This window comes from Homo sapiens, chromosome 8, assembly GCF_000001405.40.
Source record: "Homo sapiens chromosome 8, GRCh38.p14 Primary Assembly".
NCBI classification, from domain to species: domain Eukaryota; kingdom Metazoa; phylum Chordata; class Mammalia; order Primates; family Hominidae; genus Homo; species Homo sapiens.
The window spans coordinates 80,417,262-80,430,052 of NC_000008.11; the positions used below are offsets into that span (position 1 = coordinate 80,417,262).

The window sequence follows — 12,791 nt, forward strand, 5'->3', positions numbered from 1 at the left end:
CTCTTTTCTCATTGTTGTTGATGTATTTATTAATATGTTCAATTTATTGGATTTTTTAAATAAATGATGAATGCCCTTTAAACAAGTTCAATGATACAGAGATGTAGAAACAGTTAATAATCTCTATAGAAATCCTTATTACCCTCCAGGCCCAGAGATATGCCACTTATGTCATGAAGCTGTTCATCCCAGGCTCTTTTGGATGCTTATGACACTTCGTAGCACTCATATGACACTTTAAGTGACATAGGAACTTGGGAACTTTGAGGACAATTGAAAGCATCAAAGGTATTCAGCAGCCAGGTGCGGTTGCTCACGCCTGTAATCTCAGCACTTTGGGAGGCAGGCGAATCACTTGAGGTCAGGAGTTTGAGACCAGCCTGGTCAACATGGTGAAGCCCCGTCTCTACTAAAAATACAAAAATTAGCTGGGCGTGGTGACGCGCGCCTGTAAGTCCCAGCTACCTGGGAGGCTGAGGCCTGGGAGGCAGAGGTTGCAGTGAGCTGAGACTGCGCCACTGCACTCCAGCCTGGGCGGCAGAACAAGATTCTGTCTGAAAAAAAAAAAAAAAAAAAAAAAAGGAATTCAGATCGTGACAAGTAATCCATAAGGTTCACACATGAGAACGTTAAGAGAAAAGAATGGAAAACCAGAGTGGGAGCGTAGGACCTGGAGTTCCAGGTCAAGGACTCTAGACTCTATTCCATGTGGTGTTTCAGTGGACTATCCACATAAATAAGCACTGCTCTAGAATGGCAATGGTGCATAGCTTTGGAGTAGGCAGAGCGGAGACTGGGAGAGCTGGAAGGATAGTCAGGAATAAGAGGTCATTGAGGCCTGGGTCCTGGCAGCAGCAATGAAATGAAAAATGATTTGACAGCCTGGGCAATATAGTGAGACCCCTGTCTCTACAGAAAAAAAAATTGACCAGGCACAGTGTCTCAGGCCAGGTGCTCCCAGCACTTTGGGAGGTCAAGGCAGGAGGATCTCTTGATCCTAGGAATTCAAGACAGGCCTGGGCAACATAGGGAGACCCTGTTTCTAAAAAAAAATTACAAAATAAAAATTAAATTAAAAAAAATTAGCCAGGAGTGGTAATACCTGCTGTAGTCCCAGCCATTCAGCAGGCTGAGGTGGGAGGACCATTTGAGCCCCTAAGGTCAAGGCTGCAGTGAGCTGTGATCATGCTAATGCACTCCAGCATGGGCAGCAACAGAGAGAGCCCTTGTCTCAAAAACAAACAAACAAACAAACAAACAAAAAACAGTGATGTGAAACATGGGGGAGAGTCAGCAGAACTTCATCAGTGATTTGGATGTGAGTATGGGAGAGATTAGGAACCTCTCATTACTCTGTGGTTGGGTGGAGAAGGAATAGTGGCAAAAATTAATGAGAATTCAAGAGGAAGACTGGTTTGGGGAGGAAGATGGTAAGTCTGGATTGGGTTTTATTGCCTGTAAGATGCTAGTAGGTCATGAAAGTGGAACTCTCGAGTTCCTTGCTAAGGTGTGGTCCGCAGAGCAGCAGCATGTGATCCCCCAGGAACGTGTTAAAAATGCGGTGCTCGAGACAGCTGGCCTGCTGAATCAAATCTGCGTCATAAACCTGCACTTGTTAAACCGTGGTCTCTGACTTAACATCACACTGCTGAGGAAATCACCAAACTTCCTATACTCCGGTCATTAAAGCTTCTAGGATTTTTTTGTTTTTTTTTGAGACAGAGTCTTACTCTGTCACTCAGGCTGGAGTGCAGTGGCACAATCTCAGCTCACTGCAGCCTCAACTTCTCAGGCTCAAGAGATCCTCTCACTTCGGCCTCCTGAGTTGCTAAGACTTGGTTAATTTTTTGTACTTTTGTAGAGACAGGGGTCTTGCCATGTTGCCCAGGCTGGTCTTGAACTCCTTGGCTCAAGCGATCCACCCCACCCGCCTCGGCTTCCCAAAGTGCTGGGATTACAGGCATAAGCCACTGTGCCCAGCCAGCTTCTAGTATTTAGGGTGTGTTTTGCAGATGTGGTTACTGCAAAGGAGCTGCAGAAGAAATAGATTTGTAAAGTTTGCATGAGATCCTTCAAAAAATTCTGCCTGTAGGCCGGACGCAGTGGCTCACGCCTATAATCCCAGCACTTTGGGAGGCCGAGGCAGGCAGATCACCTGAGGTCAGGAGTTCGAGACCAGCATGGCAAACATGGTGAAACCCCAACTCTACTAAAAATACAAAAATTAGCCAGGTGTGTGGCAGGCACCTGTAATCCCAGCTACTCAGGAGGCTGAGCCAGGAGAATCACTTGAACCCGGGAGGCGGAGGTTGCAGTGAGCCAAGATCGTGCCACTGCGCTCCAGCCTGGGTGACAGAGCAAGACTCCATCTCAAAAAAAAAAAAAAAAAAAAAAAAAAAAATTCGGCCTGTAAAGGCTACCCAAGGCAAAGGACACCTGTGGACCACGCATACAGCTGGGCCATAGCTGCTGACTCATCTGCCTGATGCAGCACTCAGTTGCTCTGTATTTCACACATTTCTCTCTGTATTTAAGAGCAGCTATAATAATATCAAAGAGAAAATTACTTATAGAAGTTTTAAAGAACATGTCAAATTTTAAGAATTTACATATAGATATTAAATAATAAGTGAGAATTTGGGTAGACTAGCATAATTATAAAATGAATATCTTATTCTCAAAACTCTTCATGTTTTAAATATGATGTTTTCATCTTAATTGCAAAAGTCTGTTCCTAAAACTCACCACAAAACAGACATCTATGTGTGAGAAATCATTTCCTAGTCTCACAAAGAAAAAAATCATAACTATGACATTTTCTAATATGTGGTTTATACAAATGCATAGACAATCCTTTCCTGTTCCGTTTGTTCCTTTTTTAAAATCAGATATATACAGATACTATACTATAGTATAGTACACACTGTACTACACTCACTCAATGCAACTTCTGCCTCCCGGGTTCAAGCAATTCTCATGCCTCAGCCTCTCCAGTAGCTGGGACTACAGGCATGCGCCACCATGCCCAGCTAATTTTTGTATTTTTAGTAGAGACGGGGTTTCACCATCTTGGCCAGGCTGGTCTCGAACTCCTGACCTCAAGTGATCTGCCCGCCTCGGCCTCCCAAAGTGCTGGGATTACAGGCGTGAGCCACCATACCCGGCCAACACACATTTCTGGATGTTAAAATTTAATCGAAATCCTCAACAAGAGGGAAAAAATCAGAAGTGACTTTCATTTGTAGAATGTGCAAAAGCAATATGTTTACCAATGGTGGGGTGAGGGGCCTTGTAAAATGATCTGTAAATAAAATGTTCCTACTCCACGGACTGCTTAAATCAGAAGCAGAGTTATTAGGATGAACCACAGGAAACTCCCATCTTCATAGGTCAAACTGGTCAATTATTGGTCAAATATTGTCAGTTTTATATGGTTCAGCCTCTACTGTAATTAAGCGTTTTCTTATGTGTCACCCTATGCAGTAACTGGACAATAAAGTAGAAAGCAAAGCAAACGGTGTACGAGTAGGATTTTTTTCTTTCATGTGGTTGGTTTTCAGTGTTGCACTGCCTCTGTAATGCTGTTGCTTCACTGACTTTCTTAATGATAACTCTGTAACTTGACTGCCAAGAAAGAAACTCAATTGTGATGAGCCATTGGTTACAGTGCCCTTGTCTGATAATTGCTCCAATCATCAGAAAAGAGTTGACAGATAGTGTGACAGGTTGGAAATCAGCCCCACAGGAAAAACATTTTTTTCTTTAGCTTACTGGAAATGTACATATGATGTCTCCGCTTGCTGATTATGCCTTCTTTGTACTGAAACTCTAAAAACCTAAAATGCAAAGACCTAAGGGTAAAAGGCTATCTCACTGTTTCAAATCTGTTGCCAAAAAAAGCTGACCTGACACAAATAAGAAGCAAACTATGTTTATGTTCAAAATGTCTTATTTCATGTAATCAAATTTGGAATGCATGGCTAATTCATGCCTCTTGCCTTAGGGCTAATTTTGTATCATGACAATGTAATGAGAAGAATAAATTATCCAACAATTATAGGGAAAAAATAATGTTATCTGGGAGTTTTTAAAGGAGATAATATATACCTCACATTTTAAATTATTTTATAAAACCTTAAGTAGTCAAACAAGGGCCAGGAAAATCGTCCAAGTGAATTATTTCCAAGTTTAAAAAAATTAAAAGAATGAACAGGAAATTAAAAATGGGTGCCATGGTTTAGTGGTTACATTATTACAATACCTTAAAAATAGCACAGTGATGGACATATAATAAACACTCAAGAATTGTAACAACTGTTATTATTACTACTATCACTACTAACACCAACATTACCATGACTATTAATAATATTATTGACCAGGTAGAGTTGCCTTTGAAATAATAGTTTCACTTATTTTATTTCTATGTATTTCAAAAAGTGTCAATTTGGTTACAGATTTCTTTAGTTAGATCAAGAGTAAAGATGTTTTATTCTGCAATAAATTACAAAATTAAATATGTATGCAATGCCTAATCTTATACGGTGCTATAGTAAACATTAATATAATTTGTACAAAATTGGCATCTAAAAATCTGGATTTGAGTGTGGGTTCTGTTACTAATTGTTAACCACGGAGAAGTTGCTTAAAGTCTATGAAACTTAGTTTTCTTATCTGTAAAATAGGGCTAATTATAGTAGCAATAATAATAGCTAACGGTTAGGATTTAATGCTTCCTATGTGCGAGGGAATTTTCTAAGAATTTTATATACATTAACTCACTTGCTAATACTTCCCATAATGCCTAGCATTAATTTAGTAAAAGAAGATTGAGCTGTCAGTCTCCGTTTGCCTTCCACCACTGGCCCTTCTCTGCCAGGAAGCTGACTCCTGCAAATAGATCACTTGGGCTTCCTTGACACCTGACTTTCAGCTGGATTCAGACAGAGGAAGGTACCAACAGGAGATTAGAAGCTAGCAGGAGACAGAGGCAGAGCTATGTCTCTCCCTTTGCTCCCTGAGCTAGCAACTCTATTCTAATGTGTGTGTTTGAGGAGGGAGAGAGATCCCTAAGACTAGACCTCTCGCCAAACATTCTGGAAACATAGGTCCTCTTCTAACTGGACTCAGTGAACACAACATCCTTTTTTTGCCTCTTTATGCCCAGGGTGGTAAACACTTCCTGCTGTTGCTAGTTTCTTGGTACCTAAACACCCGTCTCTAGTACCCTTATCATAGCTAGGTAAGTAGTTCCTTCATTAAAGTATCTTGATTTGACCCCTATGAGGGGAATACTCTTTCTTGCTGGGACCCTGACTTTTTTAGGGACTGCATATTTTAGTATTTCAGTCAACTACTTGTTACTCAATATAATGGTAACTTAAGAGTTTTTTTTTTTTTTAATGAATCAGTATGTCAGGGAATATAATTTTGCTTTTCAATAGTTTAAGAAACCAAATGTTTCTAACTTGAATGAGTTCACTATTTTTTTTAAATAAACAAACAAAAAATCTTTCATTTGGTTCACACTTCAGGGAAAGGATATTTTAGATTCAGTTTAGTTTCTGAGCATAACCAATTAGCCTGGTATATCCCAGTTAAATGGTTCATGGTTTGGTTTGGTTCAGGTTAAGCATAAAACCCTGACATTGTGGAAAAGGTCAGTTGGAATATATGTGTTTCCCTGAGTGGGACAAATGCACACTCTAATTATGGGGATATATTCCTAGGATGGTAGAAACTTAATGTCATCCTAGTAATAAAATTATTCTCAGTTAAGTGAACGGCTCATCAACCACTGGCGTTCTTAATGTGTGTGGTTCAGCTTCCCAAACAAGATCAGTAATAGGGCGTGGCAGAGAGCACCTGTAGTCCCAGCTACCAAGAGGCTCAGGTAGGAGCCTCTTGGATTTATTGAGCCCAGGTGTTCAAGACCAGCCTGGGCAACATAGCAAGACTCCCTCCCATTAAAACAATCAACAGCAAACCATGTACACCTCTTTTCTAAGTGCTTCTCCACCCTCCACCCTCCACCTTCTCCCCTTAAATTAATTCCTTTCCAATTAGATTTGTCTTCCTCAAAGTATGGGCCCCAGACAATCTGGGATTTGTCAGAAATGCAAATTCTTAGGCTCCACTGCAGATCTTCTACTAAATGAGAAATTCTGGGTTAGGGCCCAGCAATCTGTGGCTTAACAAGCCCTCCAGGTGACTATAATGCACTATAATGTTTGAAAACCACTCAGTTACATGTTTCTTGAAGTCCGATCCTATCTATCTAGTATTTCTGTGTTGGAATTGGGTTCCACTCAAAGATCATGCTGATATTATTAATTTCATGTGTGTGTGAGTGACAAAATAACAGGGACAATTGATGGCATGCCCAAAGACATAAGTGTTTGAACTCCAGAGCTAAGATTCCTAACCGCTAAGCTAGAATGCTCCCCTAAAGGCTGCGCAGAAGCAATAATGAAACCCATGCAAAACTCAAGGAAAAACTAGTCGCATAAACTTTTTAACCCTCAAACACCCGTAATCTGATAATGCAGTATCTATTTATGATAATACATGTTTGCTTCATTATTTTTATCCAGTTGAAAAGGCCAAGACGTAATTTTACTAATACACATCTAAATTTTCAAGCACAAGTTCCTGGTTACCCTGTAACTAAATAACTTCTCACATTTTGGCTATTGAAAGCCAGTTTCTTTGCTTAATGAAAACCAGGCAAAGCTGCACACATACAGTGCAGCTACAGTCTGTGATAAAGCCATGGACACCTCGTTCCGAGCATTCCAAATGTGTTTAATTGTATCTTTTGGCTTTCATATTTCTTTTTTCTAGGACAATAGGTCTGTTTTAGTTACATATTTTTTTTGCCTGAAGTCAGATCTCACAGCTTCCGGTGAAAGGCACAAAATGGTCAGGAAGAGCAGGGTTGGAGGTGGGTGGGAGTTGATTTCTAATCTAGGGATTCCCTTAGTCGGAAGCTAATGATGATTCACAACGCAGGCACATCTTTAATCTCACAATGAATAATGTATAATGGTTTACAGAAAGATTTAATAAAAGATCCCTATGTTCCAAAGCAAGTAATTTGGGAGTTATGCTAGTTCCTCCCTCTCTCGCCCCCAAACACAATCTGTCACCAAGCCCTACTGATTCTAGCTGCCAAACCATTCTCAAACCTGTTTTATCCTTTCCATTCTCATTACAACTGCCTTAATTTAGGACCTAGACTCTTAATTGGACTTCCTTTCTCTTGCTCCCTTTTGCTTCATTGTCATGCCAACTACAAAAAACTTTTCTTAATATCATATCGCTTCCCTATTTTAAATGTCTCCAACACCCACCCGATTAAGTCATTAGCAGGCATACCTCCTACCTCATCTTGTTGCTCAATCAATATTCTAGCAATTTGCTGTACAAGCCAATCTGTTTCATACCTTCTAGGCTTTGCTTTCCAGCCATTTCCTCTGCCTGGAATTCCCTTTCTCCTATGCCAAGAGGGAAATACATTATATTTTCTTCAACATCCAGCTCAAAGGCCACCTCCTCTAGGGAGTCTTCCCGGTTCCATGACCAGAAATTTCTCCATCCCTTGCCATCCCTGTGCCTTGTACATAATCTCATAATCCTTCACATAATTATCATTATTTTAACAATTTTTTTTTTCTTGAGATGGAGTCTTGCTCTGTCCCCGGGGCTGGGGTGCAGTGGCGCGATCTTGGCTTGGTGCAAACTTCGCCTCCTGGGTTCAAGTGATTCTCCTACCTCAGCCTCCTGAGTAGCTGGGCTTGCAGCGCCAGCCACCACACCCGGCTAATTTTTGTATTTTTAGTAGAGACAGGGTTTCACCATGTTGGCCAGGCTAGTTTTGCACTCCTGACCTCAAGTGATCTGCCCACCTCAGCCTAAGTGCTGGGATTACAGGTGTGAGCCACCATGCCCCGCCCATCACATAATTACTTTAGCTACTTATTTATATGTCTTGTTTAATGTGAATTTCTGGACAGTTCCACACAAGGCCTGACGTAAAATAGGTACACATAATTTAAGAAATAATTGCATTCATCAATACCACATAGTATGTTAAATGCTATCAGACACGATACAACTGGAAAAGTTTTGCGTCTCATGCAGATGTTCTGAAGAGCCAGATAGTTGAAGTTGAATGATACAGCTTTACCACCTGTCACCTGCAGCAGTTGCTTATTCTTGTCTTTAGTTACAGAGTAAGAGAAAAAATTGCTTTAACTACCATAAAAATCTTCCTATTCCTGAAATTATATCTGTACAACATAAAGGAATCATAAAGAAAAGCCAGCTGAGCACCTACTTTTGCCTTATTCTGTTCTAATTACATGTTTTAGGGTGTCTAACCCTGGTATGTCTAGGTGTATCTAAGAATTTTGATTTTGAAGATGCACTTGAACTGACCACGTTCTTAGGCATAACCACTAACCTCAAAAGTCAAAGTATAGCGTGGGCATGGTGACTCATGCCTGTAATCCCAGCACTTCGGAAGGCCAAGGCGAGGGTATTGCTTGAGACCAGGAGTTTGAGATCAGCCAGGGTGAGACCCTCTCTCTTCAAAAAATTAAAAGAAAAATTAGCCAATGTGGTGGCACATGCCTATAGTCCCAGCTACTCAGGAGGCTGAGGTGGGAAGATTTCTTGCTTCCAGAAGGTAGAGGCTGCAGTGAACCATGATTGCACCACTGCACTCCAGTCTGGGCAACAGGGTGAGACCCTGTATCAAAAAAAAACAAACAGGCCAGGTGCAGTGGCTCATGCCTGCAGTCCCAGCACTTTGGGAGGCTGAGGCGGGTGGATCACTTGAGGCCAGGAGTTTGAGACCAGCCTGGCCAACATGGCGAAACCCTGTGTCTTCTAAAAACACAAAAATTAGCCAGTCCATGGTGGTGCATGCCTGTAATCCCAGCTACTCAGGAGGCTGAGGCATGAGAATTGCTTGAACCTGAGAGGTTGCAGTGAGCCGAGATTGTGTCACTGCACTCCACTCTGGGCGACAGAGTGAGACTCTGTCTCAAAAAACAAACAAAACTCGTACAAACAAAAATCAAAATTCAAAGTATAAAAGCTCAAGGTATAAAACAAAATGCTAATGTATTAACTAACAATAAAAGATATAGACCCGTGCAAAGATCTTGCTATTCCTATCCACTCATGCCTAAGCAAGAGTTAAGTTAGAAGTCAGAAGTTTGGCCGGGCGCGGTGGCTCATGCCTGTAATCCCAGCACTTTGGGAGGCCGAGGTGGGCGGATCACGAGATCATGAAATCGAGGCCATCCTGGCTAACACCATGAAACCCCGTCTGTACTGAAAATACAAAAAATTACGTGGGCGTGGTGGCAGGCGCCTGTAGTCCCAGCTACTCAAGAGGCTGGGGCAGGAGAATGGCGTGACCCGGGAGGCGGAGCTTGCGGTGAGCCAAGATCTCGCCACTGCACTCCAGCCTGGGTGACACAGCGAGACTCCATCTCAAAAAAAAAAGAGAGAAAAAAAAGAAACTACTAGTCTTATGAGACATTTCTTCCAACCCAGAGAAAAGCAAGGTGAACTATTCCTGTCCTCACTGTAACAGAGCACACTGATTCTCCAGGGCCTGGATGCACTGTGTCGGGTAGAGTGAATGACTCTTTCTCCTGGACAATGCAGGAGCATTACTAAATATCTTTCTAGGAGAGATGGATTTTGTCATCTCCATTGCCTAGGTTCTGGCCTTCTGCTAACATTTTTTTTTTCTTAATTCAGACAGTGCGTAATAAACAGTGACCTCAGAACTCACCCCCTTTCACTCTTGACTTTCCTAACCACTTTTGCAACTTGGCCTTTTTGTCTTGTCCTGTCCTTGGTATCCTAGTTATGATTATCACTTCTTCTCCATCACCTTACCGGTAGACCAGGCAATAAGGCAGTCATAGTGATAAAATTCGGATGGTTGCAGTTTTCTCAGGCATTCAATTATGGTCTGTCTCATCTGTAGAAGACAGGTCCCATCTTCAATATTTTTATCCTTTCTGGCTTTCTCCTTAGAGAATAACATTCTGGGAGTACCTAACAGTAGTTCCCTAGATACTGACTATACTTAACATGATGGTCTTGACAACTACTGCTGTCCCAAGATATTTTTTTAAAGGAAGAGGAAAAATTAGACATGATGAACTGAATCTTTCTCATACTGACTCTTCAAAACACTTCTGCTTCCACTCAAAAGCTGAAGATGGGGCTGGGTGCGGTGGCTCACGCCTGTAATTCCAGCACCCTGGGAGGCCGAGATGGGTGGATCATTTGAGGCCAGGAGTTCAAGATCAGCCTGGCCATCATGGCAAAAACCCATCTCTACTAAAAATACAAAATTAACCAGGCATGGTGGCGGGCACCTGTAATCTCAGCTACTTGGGAGGCTGAAGTAGAAGGATCACTTGAACCCAGGAGGCGGAGGCTGCATTGAGCTGAGATCGCACTAGTACACTCCAGCCTGGGTGACAGAGCAAGACTCCATCTCAAAAAAAAAAAAAAAATGCTGAAGATGGGAGGTGACCCTCATAAGGTTATAAGGAATAGAAGAATTACTCCCTGCCAGAGGCTAGAAAAAGAGCTCTGTTCATATAATCTTCCTGCAATTTCCTGCAATGATTTTCCATGGTTGCAGAGGCTTAGGAGAGAATGTATATACAGGCATTGTCTGTGTTGTTCAAGATGTGACTTCCTTTCTTCCTTTTTTTTTTTTTTTTTGTTGTTTTCTTTTGAGACAGTTTCGCTCTTTTTGCCCAGGCTGGAGTGCAATGGTGCGATCTCGGCTTACTGCAATCTCTGCCTCCTGGGTTCAAGTGATTCTCCTGCCTCAGCCTCCCAAGTAGCTGGGATTACAAGTGCCTGCCACCATGCCCAGCCAATTTTTTTTTTTGTATTTTTAGTAGAGATGGGGTTTCACCATGTTGACCATGGTCTCGATCTCTTGACCTGGTGATCCGCCCACCTCGGCCTCCCAAAGTGCTGGGATTACAGGTGTGAGCCACCGTGCCCGGCTTTTTTTTTTTTTTTCTACTCATAAGATGCCTGGTTTTTTGTCCAAGGTTGGCCATAATTATTCATGACCTTGAAGAGCATAACTTGTGCATTATCTCTCACGACTGTATACAGGAATATTAAAAAAACTTGGTCTTGATCTACTATACACATATAAACCAATTTCAGCTCCCAAAAAGAAATAAATTATTCAACGTATTTTTTAAAGTTTTAAAATTCTGGCTGGTGAGTTTGGGGCACATTTCTGAAATGTGATTCTAATTATTTATATAATACAAAAAAAAAGCTAAGCCTCTTTCAGTGTATGACTCACAACTTTTTTTCTACCCACATATAACTTTTAAAATCATCTTTACATAATATCAGCATATTCTGGTGCTTAACTATATTATAGCTGGCCACTTAGAAGAATTAAATAAATCTCTCAGTTGCTCCTGTGAGGATCATTTGTTTTGTGAACTCTTTTCTTTTCTTTTCTTTTCTTTTCTTTTTTTAGACAGAGTCTCACTCTGTTGCCCAGGCTGGAGTGCAGTGGTGCGATCTCGGCCCACTGCAATCTCTGCCTCCTGGGTTCAAGCGATTCTCCTGCCTCTGCCTCCTGAGTAGCTGGGACTACAGGCGCCCACCACCACGCCTAGCTAGTTTTGTATTTTTAGTAGAGAAGGGGTTTCACCATGTTGGTCAGGCTGGTTTTGCACTCCTGACCTCAAGTGATCCACCCGCCTTGGCCTCCCAAAGTGCTGGGATTACAGGTGTGAGCCACCACACCTGGCTTTGTGGGCTCCTCAATAGATTTACTCAACCCCGACACCTGGATTCCTGATTCTTTATCCTTCTCATCATAAAATAGGAAGACTGTACTTCTGTGCAGGGCATCACACAGACGACACTGCAAGGAAGTGGGCCTTATTGTTAAAAAGTTTACAATTTTGGGCCGGGTGTGGTGGCTTACACCTGTAATCCCAGCACTTTGGGAGGCCAAGGCAGGTGGATCACGAGGTCAGGAGATCGAGACCATCCTGGCTAACACGGTGAAACCCCGTCTCTACTAAAAAATACAAAAAATTAGCTGGGCGTAGTGGCGGGCTCCTGTAGTCCCAGCTACTCCAGAGGCTGAGGCAGGAGAATGGCCTCAACCCAGGAGGCGGAGCTTGCAGTGAGCCGAGATCGCGCCACAGCACTCCAGCCTGGGCCACAGAGCAAGACTCTGTCTCAAAAAAAAATGTTTACAATTTTACGAAGTACACTGACATGTAACATATGAACAGCAAAATAAGTAGAATGGGTGGGGCACAGGGGTTCATGCCTGTAATCCTAGCACTTTGGGAGGCCAAGGTGGGTGGATCACCTGAGGTCAGGAGTTCGAGACCAGCCTGACCAACATGGTGAAACCCTGTCTCTACTAAAAAATACAAAAAGTAGTCGGGTGTGGTGGTGTGTGCCTGTAGTCCCAGCTACTCGAGAGGCTGAGGCAGGAGAATCGCTTGAACCCAGGAGGTGGAGGTTGCAGTGAGCGGAGATTGTGCCACTGCACTCCAGCCTGGGCGACAGAGCGAGACTCCATCTCAAAAAATAAATAAATAAATAAGTAGAATGTCACTATAAAATTAGTAAATTAGATTTAGGATGTTTATATTAGGGATAAGTAGCTTGAGGGTTAATAAAAATAGATGAGGCAGATTGCACTGACTTCCATGTGCAGAATGAGGAGCAGTATAATCCAGTGGTGAAGAAAG

The 12,791-nt window shown here is 42.2% G+C and overlaps 1 annotated feature.

Annotated features, from left to right (window-relative positions):
- Nucleotides 2,340-2,540: a silencer, noted in NCBI's record as "peak7086 fragment used in MPRA reporter construct". NCBI's record gives its function as "represses an SCP1 promoter by STARR-seq MPRAs in K562 erythroleukemia cells {active_cell/tissue: K562}" and the evidence as "EXISTENCE:reporter gene assay evidence [ECO:0000049][PMID:32103011]".